General features: G+C 40.7%; 1 pseudogene; it reads left to right on the top strand.

Annotated features, from left to right (window-relative positions):
- On the top strand, positions 14,661–15,071 carry RPLP1P3 (ribosomal protein lateral stalk subunit P1 pseudogene 3; annotated as a pseudogene).

The following is a 19,498-nucleotide window of genomic DNA, read 5'->3' as shown; positions in this document are numbered from 1 at the left end:
AACTATGGTTAGTAAGATTTCACCAGTAGAAGGGAAGTGCTCATCTTCAGAGAAAGAGAAAAGTGAAAAGACACAAGGAGAGGAGCACAGGGAAAGAAGAGGGAAGATCCGGATAGTACCTGTATCCTCAATCTTGTTCATGTCTGATGTCCAACTGTAATCCTGTCCTCAGTTCCTTGTACAACCTCCCCGCCAATAAACTTATAATAAATTCTCCTCTTTGCCTAACCTAATTCAACTCATATTTCTTTTACTTGCAGTCAAAGAATCCTATAAATACATTCTCACACTAGAGATAGTGTGCTCCCTATCTCAGGGACAAGCCTGCCCAATCCCAATCCAGAATCTGGAAGTCATTCTCACTTCATTTTTCCCTCTCTCTCCTTCATCCCCTACACCAAATTGGTACCCAAATAATACCCATTCTACCTTCCTAGAAGCCATTTTCTGTCCATCCTTGCTGCCAGTGCCTCAGTTACAACCATCATTTCTCAAACAACCGTTTTCCTCTATGCTTTTCATATATACACATATATACATATATATATGTACCCTGAATAGATTTTCATTCTTGCCCTTGGCATATTGCATTAAGTCACTAATTTACATGTCCCTCTCTTTCACTATAATGCCCTTCCCAAAGATGTCCACATTTTAATCCCTGGAACCTGTGAATGTTTCCTGAAGTGGCAAATGGGCCTTTGTAGATATAATTAAGGACCTTGGGATGGGAAGATTATTCTAGATTATCTAAGTGGATGCACTCTACTCACATGAATTCTTAAGAGCAGAGAACATTTCCAATCTGCATCAGAGGGAGATATAACTGGGGAAGGGTCCCCGAGATGCATGGAGAAAGGGGACCATGAGCCAAGAAATGCAGGCAGCCTCTAGAAAGTGGAAAAGGCAGGAAACACATTCTCCCTCAGAGCCTCCAAAAAAAATTTTTTTTTTTTTTTTGAGATGCAGTCTCGCTTTGTCGTCCAGGCTGGAGTGCAATGGCACAATCTCAGCTCACTGCAACCTCCGCCTCCTGGGTTCAAGCAATTCTCTCACCTCCGACTCCCAAGTAGCTGGGACTACAGGCGTGCACCACCACATCTAGCTATTTTTTTTTTGTTTCGTATTTTTAGTAGAAACGGGGTTTCACCATGTTGGCCAGGCTGATCTCAAACTCCTGACCTCAAGTGATCCATCTGCCTCGGCCTCCCAAAGTGCTGGAATTACAGGCTTGAGCCACCATGACCAACCCTGCATCAGACTTCTAATGCACGGCACTGTAAGATAATAAATCTGTGTTGTTTGAAAACACTAAGTATGTGGTAACTTGTTACAGTAGCAATAGAAAATTAATACAACTCCTTGAGGGCAGGATCCATCTTTGTGATTCTCAATGTCCGGCACAGTGCATAGCACGTGAGAAGACCACAGTCCACTGGCAGCAGACATAAACAAATTGTTACAACACACATAATATGTTCCAGGGTACAATAGGCTGAACTGTGCCTCCCCCAAATTCATATGTTGATACCCTGAACCCCAGTGTGGCTATATTTGGAGAAAGTAATTGTATTAGTCCGTTCTCACAACGCTATGAAGAAATACCTGAGACCGCGTAATTTATAAAGGAAAGAAGTTTAATAGACTCACAGTTCCACATTCCTCAGGAAGCTTACAATCATGGTGAAAGGTACCTTTTCATGGGGTGGCAGGACTGAGTGAGTGGAAGCAGGGGAAATGCCAGACACTTATAAAACCATCAGATCTCATGAGAACTCACTCACTATCACGAGAACAGCATGCAGTAAACCACCTCCATGATTGAATCACCTCCACCTGGTCCCACCCTTGACACATGGGGATTATGGGGATTACAATTCAAGATGAGATTTTGAGTGAGGACACAGCCAAACTATATTAGCAATTAAGGTTAAATGAAGTCATAAGGAGGAAACCCTGATTCAATAGGATTAGTGGCCTTGTAAGAGGAGACATCAGAGAGCTCTCATGCTGGCTGGCTCCCCCCACCCCTCCCATCTCTCTGTCTCTCTCTTCCCCCTCCACTGCCCTCCTCATCATGTGAGGACACAGCAGGAAGGTGGCCATCTACAAGGCAGGAGAGTCCTCATCAGGAACAGAATCAATGAGTACCTTGATCTTAAACATCTCAGCTTCCAGAACTATGAGAAATAAATATCTGTTGTTTAAGCTACCCAGTCCTTGGTATTTTGTTACAGCAGCCCATGCTGACCAAGACATAGAGTTTGCTTAAAGAAACGTGATGAAACCCGAGGAGTAACAACTCTGTCAGGAGAGAGTCATGGAAAGCTTAGCTGGGCCTTGATAAGTACATCCTGCACTCTGCTACATGCTGTAAGGTACAAAGGATCAGGAGAACTAGCCCTTGCCCTAAGTATTTTGCATTCTAATGTAGAAGACAATGCTACCATGCATTAGACAAAAAATGTATAGCCATTATACAAATGTAAAGTTCACGTGCACTGAAGCAATGCCTGTCATCTCTATGCTCCAGAATTTAGTTCAAATTAGTTTCACCCACCTACTTTAAGAAACCATCCTAAACACTCTTGCCAATTGCTTTCCTTCTTTACTTTCCATTTCTAGAATCAATACTGTGATGACACGGAATTAAGAGAAATCTAACACACACAAAAACACTCAACTCAAGGTCTTTCAGTGATGTAGACCTTTTCTTATAAGCTAATATGGATAAAAGAAATAGCAAAAGAAAACCTAAAGGGAAAAAGCAGAGGGAAAATTTTGACAAAAACAAACTTTCACCTTTAAGGGTGATATGGTATGGCTGTGTTCCCACCCAAATCTAATCTTGAATTGTAGCTCCCATAATTCCCGTATGTTGTGGGAGAGACACAGTGGGAGATAATTGAATCATGGGGATGGTTTCCCCCATACTGCTCTCGTGGTAGTGAATAAGACTCACAAGATATGATGGTTTTATAAGGGGAAACCTCTTTCATTTGGTTCTCATTTCTCTCTTGTTGGCTGCCATGTAAGACATGGCTTTTGCCTTCTGCCATGATTGTGAGGCCTCCTTACCCACGTGGAACTGTGAGTTCATTAAACCTCTTTTTCTTTATAAATTACCCAGTCTCTGGTATGTCCCTATCAGCAGTATGAAAATGGACTAATACAGAGGGTATGTGTGAAATCGAAGAGGGGAGCCCAGTCAGCCACCTGGCTTCCTAACCTACCACACAATCACCACAGCCCTATTTCGGCACCATGTAATCGATGCCAGCTCCTGCTCTCAGGCTCTCATGTTTGTTTCCACACCACTTTCCTAGCAAGCAAAAAGTTCATAGCCTTTTCTAGGTGTGGCTCTATACACAGAGTTAGAACTTTTAATAAACACATCAGAACACATATCTAAATGAGTATTTTCCTTCATGTTCATTTGAAAAGCAACAAACTTATTGTAATAATGCTGCTTTTTCACACAATACAAGTGGAATTCCTCCTTTGAAAGTGAAAAGCCTTACCAAGTCTGAAAAAAATCAGACTCAGTAATCTACAGTCATACTTCATTTTAGATAGAGTATTACTCATCTTGATTTCCCACCTCATTCATAAGACTAACACTAAATAACACCTACTAGTTACAAAACTTAAATCTATATTACATATATATATACACACACACACATAGATACATATTATATACATAAATTTTTAAATACACTGCAGGTTGAAGGCAAGCTCTAAGAGAGGAGTTAGAATTTTTTTTTTTTTTTTTTTTTTTTTTTTTGTGACAGAGTCTCACTCTTTCGCCCAGGCTGGAGTGCAGTGGCATGATCTTAGCTCACTGCAGCCTCTGCCTGCTGGGTTCAAGCAATTCTCATGTCTCAGTCTCCCAAGTAGCTGAGATTATAGGTGCGCACCACCACACCCGGCTAATTTTTGTATTTTTAATAGAGATGGTGTTTCACCGTGTTGGCCAGGCTGATCTCTAACTCCTGGCCTCTAACTCCTGATCTGCCTGCCTCAGCCTCCCAAAGTGCTGGAATTACAGGTGTGAGCCACCACACCCAGCCTTAGAAAGTTTTTGAGTAGTAAAAATACCTCTGGAAAAATATTTAAAATCTCTAAGAAGAGCCCATAATCAAATATGTGAATTTAGGAATCCGTGTTTTTAAAAAATCAGTCCCATTACTGCAGAGTCACATCTCATGTATTTCACACAGTGGCCAGCTCAATAAATATTTATGAAGCAGAACCGAACCGAATTTTTAAGCATTTTTCATGTCCATTGTATCACTGGGAAAGTAACATTGTTACTCCATATACAATTTAGGACCTATTCAGGTCCTTCAGTTCTTTCTCCAAAGGTTTTCTCTTGGATGTATTTGAGATCTTACTGCAAATCAGCCTATCTGCAGGTGTCTTTTGAGTTCCATTAAGCTCAGTGAACATCCAATGCAGACACACAGACTTTCAATACTGTAGCCATTATGGTTGACACTTATGTCTTTCAAGGCTACTCTCCTTCAGAAGGCAAAGACTCCGAACTTTATTGCCCATATTCTTCATCAGCTACCATCAGGAAGTAACATAACTCTGGTCTCCTATCCCAATCACTTCTGTCCATTTGACATTCGACAGATGGAAACTCAGCAGTAGTCTCACTGAAGTATGAATAAATCAGCACACATGCAGGGTAGAAAATTCCAGTAGGCAACTTAAGGTGTTAAGAAAAAAGGGTTAGGAAGAACCCTCTTAGCAGCCAGTTTGTGCATTTTTTCTATCAAGTAGGTATAGCTGTGTTCTGTTGTAAGCATAATCCATACATACTGATGGAAAACAAGACCCATACAGGGTCCCTTTAAAGGGAACATCTCTAGTGCTTTATAAATCTCATTTTTTTGAACAATGAAACCCTCTTTCTATATCAATCTATATCTCTATCTCTATATCTATATATTAGGCAAACTATAAATGCCCATTTAAAATTATGTTCATGAAGTTTTCAATGACATGGAACTGAAGTAAGTAAAATAGTAAATGAGAAAAGAGTACAAAATTGTATACATAGTATTATCATAGCTATATAAAAAACTGTCTAGAAAAAAAAAACCTAGAAATAAATGTACCAAGAAATTAAATGTTATTCTCTATGAGATAATATGGAAAAAGATTTATTGTGCTTTTCCTTTTATTTCCCAACTTTCTACAATAAGTATGTATTATTTCTATAATTTAAAAAATAAAATAAATGCCATTTGATTGAATCAAATTGGTTCATATACATGCCAGCTTATCAGCAACAAAAATGTTATGTAGTATAAGGTTAAAATAATTTTGCAAATAGAAACAGAGGAGTCCACAAACTCCCATATCCCTAAACCTTTGCCACTAACTGGTAGCTGATAACTGTCTAAAGATAACCAAGATTTGGCCGGGCAGTGGCTCAGGCCTATAATCCCAGCACTTTGGGAGGCCAAGGTGGGCGGATCACTTGACATTAGGAGTTCAAGACCAGCCTGACCAACATGGTGAAACCCCACCTTTACTAAAAACACAAAAATTAGCCAGGCCTGGTGACACGTGACTGTAGTCCCAGCTACTCAGGAGGCTGAGGCACAAGAATCGCTTGAACCCAGGAGCTGGAGGCTGCAGCCAGCCAAGATCATACCACTGCACTCCAGCCTAGGTGACAGACCAGACGTCATCTCAAAAAAAAAGAAAAAAAAAAGACATCCAAGATTTTTTAATTGGAAACATTTCTTTCTGACTTGAACAGCAGAATGCCACACACCCAGGCTACCATGGTCACATGGACTATTGTTAGCCAAGTATGCATTCAGTATACTAAACTGCAGATTCTCTGTAAATGTATAGTTCATACAGGGAGTAGGTACACGAGATGAATTTTGTTTGCTTAAAGCCTATGTCATAATCTATGGCACAATAAGCAAGACACAAAATATTACAAATTGTATGAATCCATCTATACGACATTCCAGAGAAAGCAGAACTAATCTATAATGACAGAAAGCAGCTGGGCCAAGGGTGGGGACAGAGGATTGATTGTAAGGAGGCATGTGGAAACTCTTATCTTGTCTGTGGTACTGGTTATATGGTTGGGTATGTTTGTCCAAACTCATCAAACTGTACATTGTTTTAAATGGTGCATTTTATATTATGTATATTACACTTTAATAAAAATAACCTTTGGGATTTATGATACACTCTCATATGGCATGTAATGATAATACAGAGTATGACAGTCTCAATCTGGGGAGAATCTTGGTAATAGGCAGCCATAATCAGGCTACGTTTTGAGAGTTCAAAACAAAAATATTCCCACCCACTCCAAGAAGCTTCCAATGACTCCACAATTCTACTAATGTAGAGTCATTTTTATGGAATCTCTGAGTATTATGTTGATGGGAAAACATCACTTGAAGAAGAGGAGAGTAAGACTTCAAGCCTAGCCAGGCATAGCAGCTAACACTTGTAATCCCAGCACCTTGGGAGGCCAAGGTGGGTGGATCGCTTGAGTCCAGGAGTTCAAGGCCACCCTAGGCAACATGGCAAAATCTCCCTCTACAAAAAAATACAAAAATTAACCAGGTGTGGTGGTACATGCCTGTAGTTCCAGTTATCTTGAGGGGCTGAGGCTGGAGGTTCTCTTGAGGCCAGGAAGTCAAGGCTGTAGTGAGCTGATCACGCCACTGCACTCCAGTTTGGAAGACAGAGCGAGAGTCTGCCTTGTAAAAAAAAAAAAAAAAAACCTCAAATCACTATCAACTATCTCTTAGAAAAAGTTACTTTCCAGGCTGACCACGGTGGTTCACGCCTTTAATCCCAGCACTTTGGGAGGCCGAGGCGGGCGGATCACTTGAGGCCAGGAGTTTGAGACCAGCCTGGCCAACATGGTGAAACCCCACCTCTACTAAAAATACAAAAATTAGCTGAACATGGTAGCGGGCACCCGGCTAATTTTAATCCCAGCTACTTGGGAGGCTGAGGCATGAGAATCACTTGAACCCGAAAGGCAGAGGTTGCAGTGAACCAAGATCATGTCACTGCACTCCAGCCAGGCAACAGAGTGAGACTCCATCAAAAAAAAAAAAAAAAAAAAAAAGACAGAAAGAAAGAAAGGAAAGAAAGAAAGAAAGAAAGAAAGAAAGAAAGAAAGAAAGAAAGAAAAAGAAAGAAAAGAACTATCCAGCAGTATCAGCTATGGAAGGAAGTTCTAGGAGTGGGGCAGAGAGAGACAAGAGTGGAGAGGGTCTGAGAGACACCCCAGAGAGTGTTCTAAGACAAATTTTGCCTATTTCACATAGTCTCCTCTCTTTCATTTTTACAGGAGAAATATAAACCTTAGAAAAACTCATCCCCTAAGTATGCACATGAAGCCCAGTTGAATCCCACTTTCCTCCCTCCTAGACCTTTTGTCCAAGATGGTTGTGATGAGCAACATCCCCAGCTCCTGAATACTTCCTTCCATCCACAAACTATTTTCACATCAGTTATTTCATTAGATCAACTCAACTTCCTTTGAAGTAATGACTAACAGGTAGGTAGCAGTAGCATTCCTATTCTACACTTAAGAAAACTGAGACAAATCAGAGCTATTCATGGACTTAACCAATGCCCTACAGGTAAGAGCTACCAGAACTGCTCCCTAATGTGCTCCAATAGGCCATACTTGGATCGTCCTCACAAAACCTTCAACCCGGTAACATATACTATCAACCTTTGCCAACCTAATATGGAGATTGGAAAATGCATGGTAAATGATTGCCCTGAACATGCTTATGAACAAAAGCAGGTTTTATCTTTACATAAATTATTTCAATTTCCATGGCTTAGACTCAGCAGACTGGGATTCAAATTCCTACTGGCTGTAAGATTCACCATCCTAGGCCTTAATTTCATCAGTAAAATGAGCATATTAATGTCTGTTCTTATTCATAGAACTTTTGTGAAATCAAATAAATAATGAACACTAAAATATTCTGTGAACTGCATGCATGGCACTGAATGACTATTAGATGTTTTACTTATAACTATTCAAACCTAAATAGAGATTGTAAATACATTTTGTTAATTACCAAAGGGTGTTTTCTAGATTAACTGTAATTTTAAAATGAATTATGTGATAAAGATCTAGGTAATAAAAATATTTTCAGATAACTTACTACTCATGTATATCATCAATTTTAGGATTCCTTTCATCTGATAAATTAGGATTGTGGAATATTTTGCTCTCAGGAAGAGCCCAGAAATAACCAGAGTGTGCCATTGAAAGTAACAATTCAGCAGAAATCAAACATGATACTGTAATGGAAAGCAAGATAAGTTTTCACAAATATGTGATGACATCCAGGAAGCAGTAAGCTACAAAGAGGCAAAAACGGGCTAAGATTGGCTTTGATGGAGAAAATACAATTAAGCTTAATTCCTTTATAACTTTTGTTGTTCTTCTTATACTGCTGAAAAGGGCTTAAAATAGATCACAGTAGCCAGGGACAAGTCTAATTTCCAGATTCTCAAGCAAAACTATGCAAAGGAATCCAATATTTCTGCAGCCAAGGATTCCCCAAAATGCCCCCTTCCTGTAGAGGCCTCTTGTTTAGACTTTCCTTAGTATCTGTCTCAGCAGAGTTCCTATCCTGTGTCTTCAGCCTGCTGACCTTCCTCCTGGCTATCTTTCTCATTTGACTTTGAAAAGTATTTGCAGATCTGAAAACTAGTTCTTCATCAAATCTGTCAAAGACCAACTCTTTGTGAAAAGTCAATATCCCAAAGCCCCATAGCTGAACCTGGAAAAAACGTCAAACTACAGACCCTAGATGTTACCACTACACTAGTCATGCACTAGTCACTCTGATAAAAGTCTCCATGCTTCCCTTGATGACCCTCGAAATCTCCTCATTCTCAAGTAACATGAGGAAATTTTCTTTTCTCTTTTTCTTCTGTCACAACATAATTTGACTTTAGGAGTGTAAATGTTGGCAGATACATGCTGAGAAAATAGAAAGAGAAAATTCAAATAGTAATAGGCAGGCTTGAAGCCATCTTCCTCTTACACAATTTTATTTTTTAAAATTGGTGAAAGTTGCCAGAAAACAGGTTATTGCTGAAGAAATATGTTCTGAAAAACAAAAATTGAACTGAGAAGACTGAGCTCTAATTCTAGTGGATATGATGTCTCTGATTCCATTAAGACATGCGCTACTTATTCCCTGCTACAGAATGAGAATTTCCGACACACACACGAGCACTGAGAGTCCCCTGTAAGCCATTGACATCGGCAAAATGACATCTCCACCAAGGAGGCCATGACAGGAGCCAGAAAACAATTCTGTTTCCTGTGAGTACGCACAAGTTTCAGAAGAGCCATTTATCATCGCTCCTAGTAGAAATTCATTTTCTTTCTTTCTTTTTTACTTTTTAAAACCAATCTTCATTGATAGCTGGTTAGAGAAGAGTCTGGCTGGTGGAGTGTTGGTGATGATCCTCCATCCACTGACACAATTTCTCTCACAATCCAAAGGGGCTAACACTGCAGTGAGATGGGACAGTTTTCCAGCGCCAAGTCTCCTGCAGTTAAAATGGGCCTGTCAAAGATTTTTCTTTCCTACTCCAAAAGTACCCCAGTACCTCCACCCAAACAGAGGGAGAAAATCAGAGTCCCCCTTCAGGGCAGTTGGCTAGAGAGTAGGCTAAGGGCTATGTCTAATTCTGCAGTATTCGTTGACTGAGGGCCCCTTTATTATCTGCTTTCCCTTTCTGTTCCAGGAGCTGGCTCCATTTTACAGAGCAAAGAACTGGTACACACTACTTGCCGCAGGCAGAGACCTGGTTTGTGGAAAACAGTAATAGTTAGAAGAAAGTGAGGGAAAGAATTTTCTCACACCATCATTAATAATCAGTATCTTACATACGAAAATGCCATTATTTTCATCAGGCTCCACCGAGGGTCTGTCATAAAGGTATGTCTCTTCTTTCTCCAGTCCCCAACTCTTGAAACCCTTCCATTGTGCACTCTGCACCCTACAGTCCATTAGCAGTAAAACCTCTATATTCTCAACTTTTCTGCAAACTCAGTAACAGAAACCTGGTTCTCCCCTGAGAATTCCGTTTCTACTGGAGTAGTCTCAAGTGGTCACTTCCATCTCTCTCATGCCTCCTAAACTCCTAGGCTTAAACACAGGGAAGGAATACTTCATGTTCCACATTGCTGCTTTTTGTTTGTTTGTTTGTTTGTTTTTTTGTTTTGTTTTGAGACGGAGTCCCGCTCTGTCTCCCAGGCTGGAGTGTAGTGGCACGATCTCGGCCCACTGCAAGCTCCGCCTCCCGGGTTCACGCCATTCTCCTGCCTCAGCCTCCCGAGTAGCTGGGACTACAGGCGCCCCCCAGCTTGCCCGGCTAATTTTTTTTCTTTGTATTTTTTTAGTAGAGACGGGGTTTCACTGTGTTAGCCAGGATGGTCTCGATCTGCTGACCTTGTGATCCGCCCGCCTCGGCCTCCCAAAGTGCTGAGATTACAGGCGTGAGCCACCGCATCCGGCCCCACGTTGCTGCTTTTATACCATTCTCTCTCCCTTTCTCTAAAGTTTTCCAGCTTTGAATCTATATAACCAGTCTATCATCATCACTTCCTCTTTTTTTTCTGTAGACATCTATCAACTTCTTGGTCATTCGTCCTCATGTGTCAAAGATTTTAGCTCATGACTCACTGCCACTTTCTAACAATACGCTTGTTTTCATTCTCGGTAATTTCAATTCCATATTGATGTTACTTTCAACACTGCCCTCATTGCTCTTTGATCTTCTCCAGTGATTTTATTCTTTACCTCTAGCTGTCTTCCAAGGGTCAATCCCTAGTCCTTATTATTACCAAAATCTACAACCACCCATCATAGCAAATTTGAACCCTCTACTCAGACCTCCATCCACTCTCTTTTCAATCCACTCCCTATTGTGCCCATCTACAACAATCCTTCAGCTCCTCTATGGAATATAATCCATTAATTGTACCATCTGTTCACTGTCCCTCCCCACTTCATGTCCTCACTTCCTTGATTCCGTTTAAATGCCATACTCTATCATTACGAAAACTCTCTTGCGTACACCCTCCACCCTCTTGCTTCTCTCTCTTATTATACTTGCTTAGAAAACTTTAGGTCTGGGAAAATACAACTCTTCTCCCACTGTGTGCCTGCACCCATGTAGCTGAACAAGGCTATAGAAAAATGCACTACCATGCTAATATGATTTGGCTCTGTGTCGCCACCCAAATCTCACCTCAAATTGTAATCCCCATAATCCCCAGGTGTTGAGAGTGGGACCAGGTGGAAGTAATTGTATCACGGGAGTTGTTTCCCCCATGCTGTTCTCATGATAGTGAGTCTCACAAGATCTGATGGTTTTATAAGTGCCTGGTATTTCCCCTGCTTGCACTCATTATCTCGCCTGCTGCCCCATGAAGAGGTGCCTTCTGCCATGATTGTAAGTTTCCAGAGGCCTCCTTAGCAATGTGGAACTATGAGTTAATTAAACCTCTTTTCTTTATAAATTACCCAGTCTCCAGTATTTCTTCATAGCAGCATGAGAACAGACTAATATAGTAAATTGGTACCAGGAGTAGTGGGGTGCTGCTGTAAAGATACCCAAAAATATTAAAATGACTTTGGAACTGGGTAACAGGCAGAGGTTCAAAGAGTATGGAGGGCTTAGAAGACAGGAAGATACAGGAAAGTTTGGAACTTCCTAGAGACTCGTGGAATGGTTTTGACCAAAATGCTGATAGTGATATGGACAATGCAGTCCAGGCTGAGGAGGTCTTAGATGGAGATGAGGAACTTTTGGGGAACTGGAGTAAAGGTGACTCTTGCTATGCTTTAGCAAAGAGACTGGTGGCCCCCTAGAGATCTGTGGAACTTTGAACTTGAGAGAGATGATTTAAGGTATCTGACAGAAGACATTTCTAGGTGACAAAGCATTCAAGAGGGAGCAAAACATAAAAGTTTGAAAAATTTGCAGCCTGATGATGGGCTAGAAAAGAGAAATCCATTTTCTGGGGGAGAAATTCAAGTCCACTACAGAAATTTACATAAGTAAAGAGGAGCCAAAATGTTAATCACCAAGACAATGGGGAAAATGTCTTCAGGACGTGTCAGAGACCTTTGTGGCAGCCCCTCCCATCACAGACTAGGAGGCCTAGGAAGGAAAAATGGTTTTGTGGGCCACCCCCAGGGCTCCCTGCTCTGTGCAGCCTCAGGACATGGTGCCCAGTGTCCCAACTGCTTCAGCTCCAGCCATGGCTAAGACAGGCCAAGGTACAGCTCAGGCCATTGCCTCAAAGGATGCAAACCCCAAGACTTGGTGGCTTCTATGTGGTGTTGAGCCTGTGGATGCAGAGAAGTCAAGAATTGAGGTTTAAGAACCTCCACCTAGATTTCAGAGGATACATGGAAATGCCTGGATGTCCAGGCAGAAGTTTGCTGCAGGGGTGTAGCCCTCATGGAGAACCTCTGCTAAGGCAGTGCAGAAGGGAAATGAGGGGTGGGAACCCCCACACAGAGTCCCCACTGGGGCACTACCTAGTGAAGCTGTGAGAAGAGGGTCACCATCCTCCAGACACCAGAACGGTAGATCCACCAACATCTTGCACTGTGGGCCTGGAAAAGCTGCAGACACTCAACACCAGACCTTGAAAGCAACCTGGAGGGAGGCTGTACCCTGCAAAGCCACAGAGGCAGAGCTGCCCAAGGCCATCAGAGCCTACCTCTTGCATCCTGGATGTGAGACATGGAGTCAAAGGAGATCATTTTGGAACTTTAAGGTTTAATGACTGCCCTATTGGATTTTGGAAATGCATGGGGCCTATAGACCCTTTGTTTTGGCCAATTTATCCCGTTTGGAATGGGTGTATTTACCCAATGCTGGTACCCTCATTGTACCTAGGAAGTAACTAACTTGCTTTTGATTTTATGGGCTCATAGATGAAAGGGACTTGCCTTGACTCAGAGGAGACTTTGGACTTGGACTTTTGGGTTAATGCTGTAATGAGTTAAGACTTTGGGGGACTGTTGGAAGGGCATGATTGTGTTTTGAAATGTGAGAACATGAGATTTGGGAGAGGCCAGGGGCAGAATAATATGATTTGGCTCTGTTCCCCACCCAAATCTCACCTTGCATTATAATCCCCATGTGTCAAGGGTGGGACCAGGTGGAGGTAATTGGATCATGGGGCAGTTTCCCCCATGCTGTTCTCATGATAGTGAGTAAGTGTCATGAGATCTGATGGTTTTATAAGCATCTGGAATTTCCCCTGCTTGCACTCATTCTCTCTTGTGCCATCCTGTGAAGAGGTGCCTTCCACCATATTGTAAGTTTCCTGAGGCCTCCCCAGCCATGTGGAACTGTAAGTCAATTAAACCTCTTTTCTTTATAAATTACCCAGTCTTGGGTATTTCTTCATAGCAGTGTGAGAATGGACTAATATGCATGCTGACAGGAATCATTTTTCATTAATGACTTTGAATCTCAAATGAACCCAGTAATACTACTGCCTTTCCATGGTTCATTCACTTTCTTACCCTTCTAGATGACAATTTCATACTTCTCTCCTCTCTCCTGAGACCTCCCATGCTTCTTCCCACATCCTTATTCTCAAATGACAAATTGTATCATATTTCACTGAGAAAATAGAAACAATCAAAAGAGAAATTCTGCCAGTTCCCATTATCTCAATGCAAACTCACCAGCTTATGTACCATATACTCTTCCTTCCCTAGTGCTTCTGTAGATGGACCATCCAAATCTCTGCCTATGACTATCTCCATATATGCACTAGATTCTACTTTCATTATTTGATTACAGATATTCTCTCTTCTTTACTGCATCGTTAATTTTTTCCTCTCTGTTGGATCATTCCAACAGCATTCAAACATGCTATTTTTCTAGTCAGCATTTGATCTGTCATTTCTCTGACCTATCCCAATTAATGAAAACTCTACCTTTTGAGTTGCTCCAGCAAAAAGCATGGTCATTCTTGACTTCTCTTTTTCTCACACCGTATATCCAGTCCATCAAGAAATCCCACTGACTCTACCTTCAAAAACTGGTTACTTCTCAGCATTTCTTCTATTATGCCCTGGTCTAAGCAAGCATTTACTGTCTAGATTATTACCATGGCTTCCTAGCTGGCCTCCCTAATTTTATCCTTACCCTCCTACTATTCCCAGTGCAACAGCCAAAGTAATCCTTGTCCTGTAACCCCTCTACGCAAAGCTCTCCAATGACTTCCCATCTGACTCAGACCAAAAGCCTGAGTAAGTCCTTACAAAGACCTAAAGAGCCTTTGCTATTTGTTCCCCACTCTCCTGTTCCCACTTTGACTTTGCCTCGAATTCTGCCCTTCACTCACTTTGCTATAGCCATACTGACTTTCTTGTTTCTTGAAAATACCCAATACATCTCTTCATGAGGGTTTTCTCACATGTTCTTTCCTCTGCTTGAAACGCTCTTTTTCCAATGGTCATGAAGCTCATCCTCTCCCCTCCTTTTAAAGTCTTTTCTCAAATGTTACTTTCTCAGGAACATTTTATTTGACCACTGTTCTTGAAATTGTCCTCTCCTCTGCTGCCGCCAAGGTTCTGCACCCTTCCCAGGAAGCTAAGTCCACATGGGGGTGAGGGGCTCGCCCACACCATGGCCTCAATCTCCCAGCTTGCCTGCATCTATTTGGTCTTCATTCTGTATGAGGATGAAGTGACTGTCAGGGAGGATAAGATCAATGACCTCATTAAAGCAGCTGGTGTAAATGTTAAATTTTTTTGGCCTGGCTTGTTTGCAAAGGCCCTGGTCAATGTCTGCATCAGGAGCCTCATCTGCACTGAAGGGGCCAGTGGACCTGCTCCAGCAGCTGGTGCTGCACCAGCAGGAGGTCCTGCCCCCTCCACCACCACTGCCTCAACGAAGGAGAATAAAGCAGAAGCAAATAAAGAATCTGAGGAGTATGTTGAGGACAAGAGCTTTGGTCTTTTACGACATGTTCAATAAAAAGCTGAATTCCGTTGGCTACAGTGGCTCAAGCCTGTAGTCCTAGCTACTCTGGAGGCTTGGGCAGGACGATCCCTTGAGCCCAGGAGTTTGAGGCTGCAGTGAACAAAGACTGTGCAACTGCACTCCAGCCTGAGTGACAGAGCAAGTCTCTAAAAAACAAAACAAAACAAAAATACAAAAAAACAACTAAACTCAGAAAAATAGTTTTAATTACACTCTGTCGGACACACTTTCTATTCTCCCTGTTTTGCTTGTCTTCATGGCACTTATCATCTTCTAATATCCCATATAATTAACTGTTTTATTGGTTGTTGTTGTATTTTTCCTGTTTGACACACAGACTCCTGAAAGTAAGCTCCACGAAGTAAGACTTCTTGTTGGTTTGTTTGGTTGGTTCACAGCTATACACCCAGCACCTAGTAGAATGCCTGCCACATTGTAGATGCTTACATATTTGCTAAAGGAATGATTTTAACATCTTAACTATGTGTTCTGTATTATTTTGTACCTATTCAAGTGTGCAAGTCTAGCAGTATTGTAAGCCTCTTGATGGCCAGAATTATGCCACTTACTTTGCGGCTTCCCTCCACGGCACATATTATAAAGATTGGCTTCCACATTAAACGCCTGTTGAATTGAACTGCACAATAAATATCTTGATCAGCATTCAGCTGAGTCCTTCCCAAATTCCTAAGACAGATAATAAAATGGTTGTTGTTTTAAAACACTTTTTTAAAGGTTTTAAAGCTTTTAGTTTCGGGGAATGGGGGGGTACATGTGCAAGTTTGTTATTTGGGTATATTGCATGACGCTGTGGTTTGGTCTTCTAATGATCCCATAGCCCAAGTAGCTGACATAGTGCCCAATAAGTAGATTTTCAACCCTTTCTCCCCTCCCTACCTCTCTCCTTTTGGAATCCTCAGAAAACAATAAGTTTCAGAGTCATCTATTACACAATAGAAGCCTAGTGAGACAATTTTGTAGCATTGCTTTTGGAAATTATGGATAATTCCCATATTATCAAGTTAGCTGTTCCATGTTAAGTTTTCTCCTAATCTAGTAATTTACTTACCAACAAAATGGCTTAACCAACTGCATATCTTTATTGGTTAAGTAGGCCATTTATGCAACAAGTGTAATAGATCCCAAAATGTACAAGAGCCCAACAACAATAAAAAAATTATCTTTTGCTCGCGTAACAGTACAGGCAACGTGGACAGGGTGAGGAGGTCTACCTCCATGCAGTCAAGTCTAATAGAACCTCTGTTTTCTTCAACATGTAGCTTCCAAAGTCACCCTAGAAGTTTTCTCCATCCTAACCAAACACAATTGGAAAGAACATGCAGGAGCACACATGGGAGGTTTTTGTGGGCCAGTCTTAGAAGTGGCCCATCACATCTACAAAAATTTCACTGGTAGAACTCAGTCACATGGCCACATCCACTGGGAAGTATAGTTTAGCTAAGTGCTCAGGAGGTAGTGTTGCCAGATTTAGGGAATATACAAAATAAAACAAAATACCTTGTATTTATCTGGCTATTCTACAAGGAAAAAAAAAAAGAACATTTCGGTCAAACAGATAATATCCAAATAAGAATGTAGTAATGAGATCCCACTATATATTCTTAATATTTCCTGGCCCTTTGATGGCATCTATCTCAGAATGCACAAGACCAGTTTCTAACAACTCAAAATCAGTGTGATTACAGATGGCACTTACGAACTCACAGAAGTTTTCACTTACGAAAACACAGAGGTAAGAAACTACAAAGAAAAGGAAATAAAGACATCTCTAGTACTGCTAAAGATAATGGCCACATTTGGAAAGACCTTATAACTCATCTGTAAAAAAAAAAAATCTAAAACTTCTAAAGTAGATTTATCCAATGACTATCTATTGGCCTCATTTATTTCTGTGGCAAAAAATGTTTGACCTTATATGTTGCTAACAGGAGATGGTGGAAAGGAGACAACATATTTTAGGAACCTTCTCATGACCTTCCGTCTGGAGATCATCAACCCTTCTTAGCTGTTTTCTCCCACTACCAAGTAGTCATTTTAACATAAGTTTACCTCCAGGAAAAACAGTTACTCTGACAATTTTTATTCAGGTATGTGCCACCAAGCCTACAAACGGACCCCAGGTAGGACCCTACTAACTAGGTGATCAGCTCAGGAAAAGCTGAGTATGATTGGCAGGGTGAGAGAAGTATTATTCTTCAGAGTGACACTGAAATTTTTTAATTTCCTAAAGATTTAGTCTCAGCTCTCAATTTAAAACATCTTAGAATGTTTTTAATTATTAGAAGAAATTTTAAGTATTAGGGAAGGGAGGTTGACTACTAGTAGTAGGAAAAATAAATTACTACCAAGAAGAGCCTGATTGCAGACATCACTCCAATACCTGGGCCAATGCCAGGTCAGTTGAGAAGATGGGTGCTAAATTATATAGTTTCTGAACTCATCTAAACTTAACAATTCTAGAGAGTTAGCCTACTTATTAAGAAAGGTAGCACACAGTATGGTTTCTATTTTCATATCATTTTCCACGTTTCTCTGTTTTAGTATAAATCTATTTTTGCAGATAAAAAACCTAACTGTGATGTGAGACTATTCTTGGGATGTTCAATTTTCTCCTGCTCACATGGGACACACATTACCTTGTCCATTTGCCTCAAGAAATGTGCATCAGAAAGAGATGATGGCCAAGTGAAGGAGAAATCCAGTCCAAGCCAGAGATGTTGAAATCGATGGCTCACATGAAAAGATCCTCAACACCTCACTATAATTAAGTTTATCTGTGGGTCTCCCACAAGACTTTGCAAGAGCTCATCATCCTCTACATGTGAACTGATGAAAAGTGAAGCATAGAGGGATATCTTAACATTAAATACAAGTTGGAAGTCTTGCCAAAAATCAGAGATTACTCAGAGTTTCCATGGGTTTTGGTTGCTCCACTTTAAGAAATGCTCAAGCCCACCAAGTGAGGGTTTGCTATTTGATCCATTTGTCTTTCTAGGGCATATTTTAAAATAAAACTTCAATGCAAAAAAAAATGTTCCATTAATAGCACAGTTTTAATAAATATTGCCTCTGAGAAAGTCCTTCATCTGTTTCCATATCCACACCATCACCTAGGAATGTTTGTTAGGCTCTATTTGCAAATGGTAGCCTGCTCCATGTGACTCAAAGAGAGCTGAATAAAATATACATGTGAGAATATGCCATCTAAATCCTGCTACAGATCTACTCAAGAGAAAAAAAGATACATATTTAAAATAGTTTGGTTGAGTTAAAATGCAACAGGGAATGAAAAGATGTTCAACATCATTAGTCACCAGGAAAAGCAAGTCAAAATCACAATGAGAAACTACTTCATATGCACTAGGATAACTAAAATTTTTTAAATGGGAAATAAATGTTGGCAAAGATGTGGAGAAATTAGGACCATCACACATTGCTAGTGGGAATGTAAAATGGTGCTGTTACTGTGGAAAACAGTTGGTGGCTCCTCAATAAGTTAAACTAGAATTATTATGTGACCTAGCAATTCCACTTGTAGGTATATACCCAAAGTAATTGAAAACAGGTATTTAAAAAAATCTTGTACACAAATATTTGTAGCAGCACTATTCACAATAGCCATAAGGTAGAAATAACCCAAATTTCCATCAACTGATAAAAGATAAACAAAATGTGGTACATCCACACAGTGGAATATTATTCAGCCAAAAAATGTGTCGGATGAAGCACCAACATGTTACAACATGGATGAACCTTGGAAACATTATGCTAGGTGAAAAAAGACAGACACAAAAGATCATATTTTGTATTATTCAATTTATATGAAACATCCAGAATAGATAAATCCCTAGAGACAAATCAGATTGGTGGTTACCAGAAATTGGATTGGGAGGAGAATGGGAAGCAACTACTTAATGTATATTGCATTTCCTTTTGGGGTGACGAAAATAATATGTCTTGGAGCTAGATAGTGATGATGGTTGCACAACTCAGTGAATTTACTAAATGCCACCGAATTGTATACTTTTAAATGATTCTGTGTTATGTGAATGTTACCTGAATTTAAACAATCAACAGAGAGGGCCCATCTATACATATAAACCCTGTATCATCCACAGCCCTTGATCAGGGCTTGACAGCCTTGTTTTAAGGTTGGGATGTGGCACAGTTTTTCTTTGGTCATTGGAAGCCTGATTTCAGCCTTGCATGCCTGCAGCCTGGAGACTAGGGAAGAGAGCAGAGCTGGAAAAAAACATGACTTTGAATGGGCCATGTTCTCTTCTTTCTTCTGCAGGGAGCTAATAGTAGGTGCAGGCTGTGCTTTTCCCCCCACAGCCTTCAGACAATCCCAAGAGCTCCTAAGAGTTATCAACTTATCCAAAGACCAAGAAGCATTGGCCTCGCTGCAGAG

The sequence above is a fragment of the Homo sapiens genome, chromosome 1 (genome assembly GCF_000001405.40).
Source record: "Homo sapiens chromosome 1, GRCh38.p14 Primary Assembly".
In the NCBI taxonomy this organism is placed as follows: Eukaryota; Metazoa; Chordata; class Mammalia; order Primates; family Hominidae; genus Homo; species Homo sapiens.
Note: the sequence above shows the minus strand (reverse complement) of the source record. Positions and strands in the feature narration are given on the sequence as shown.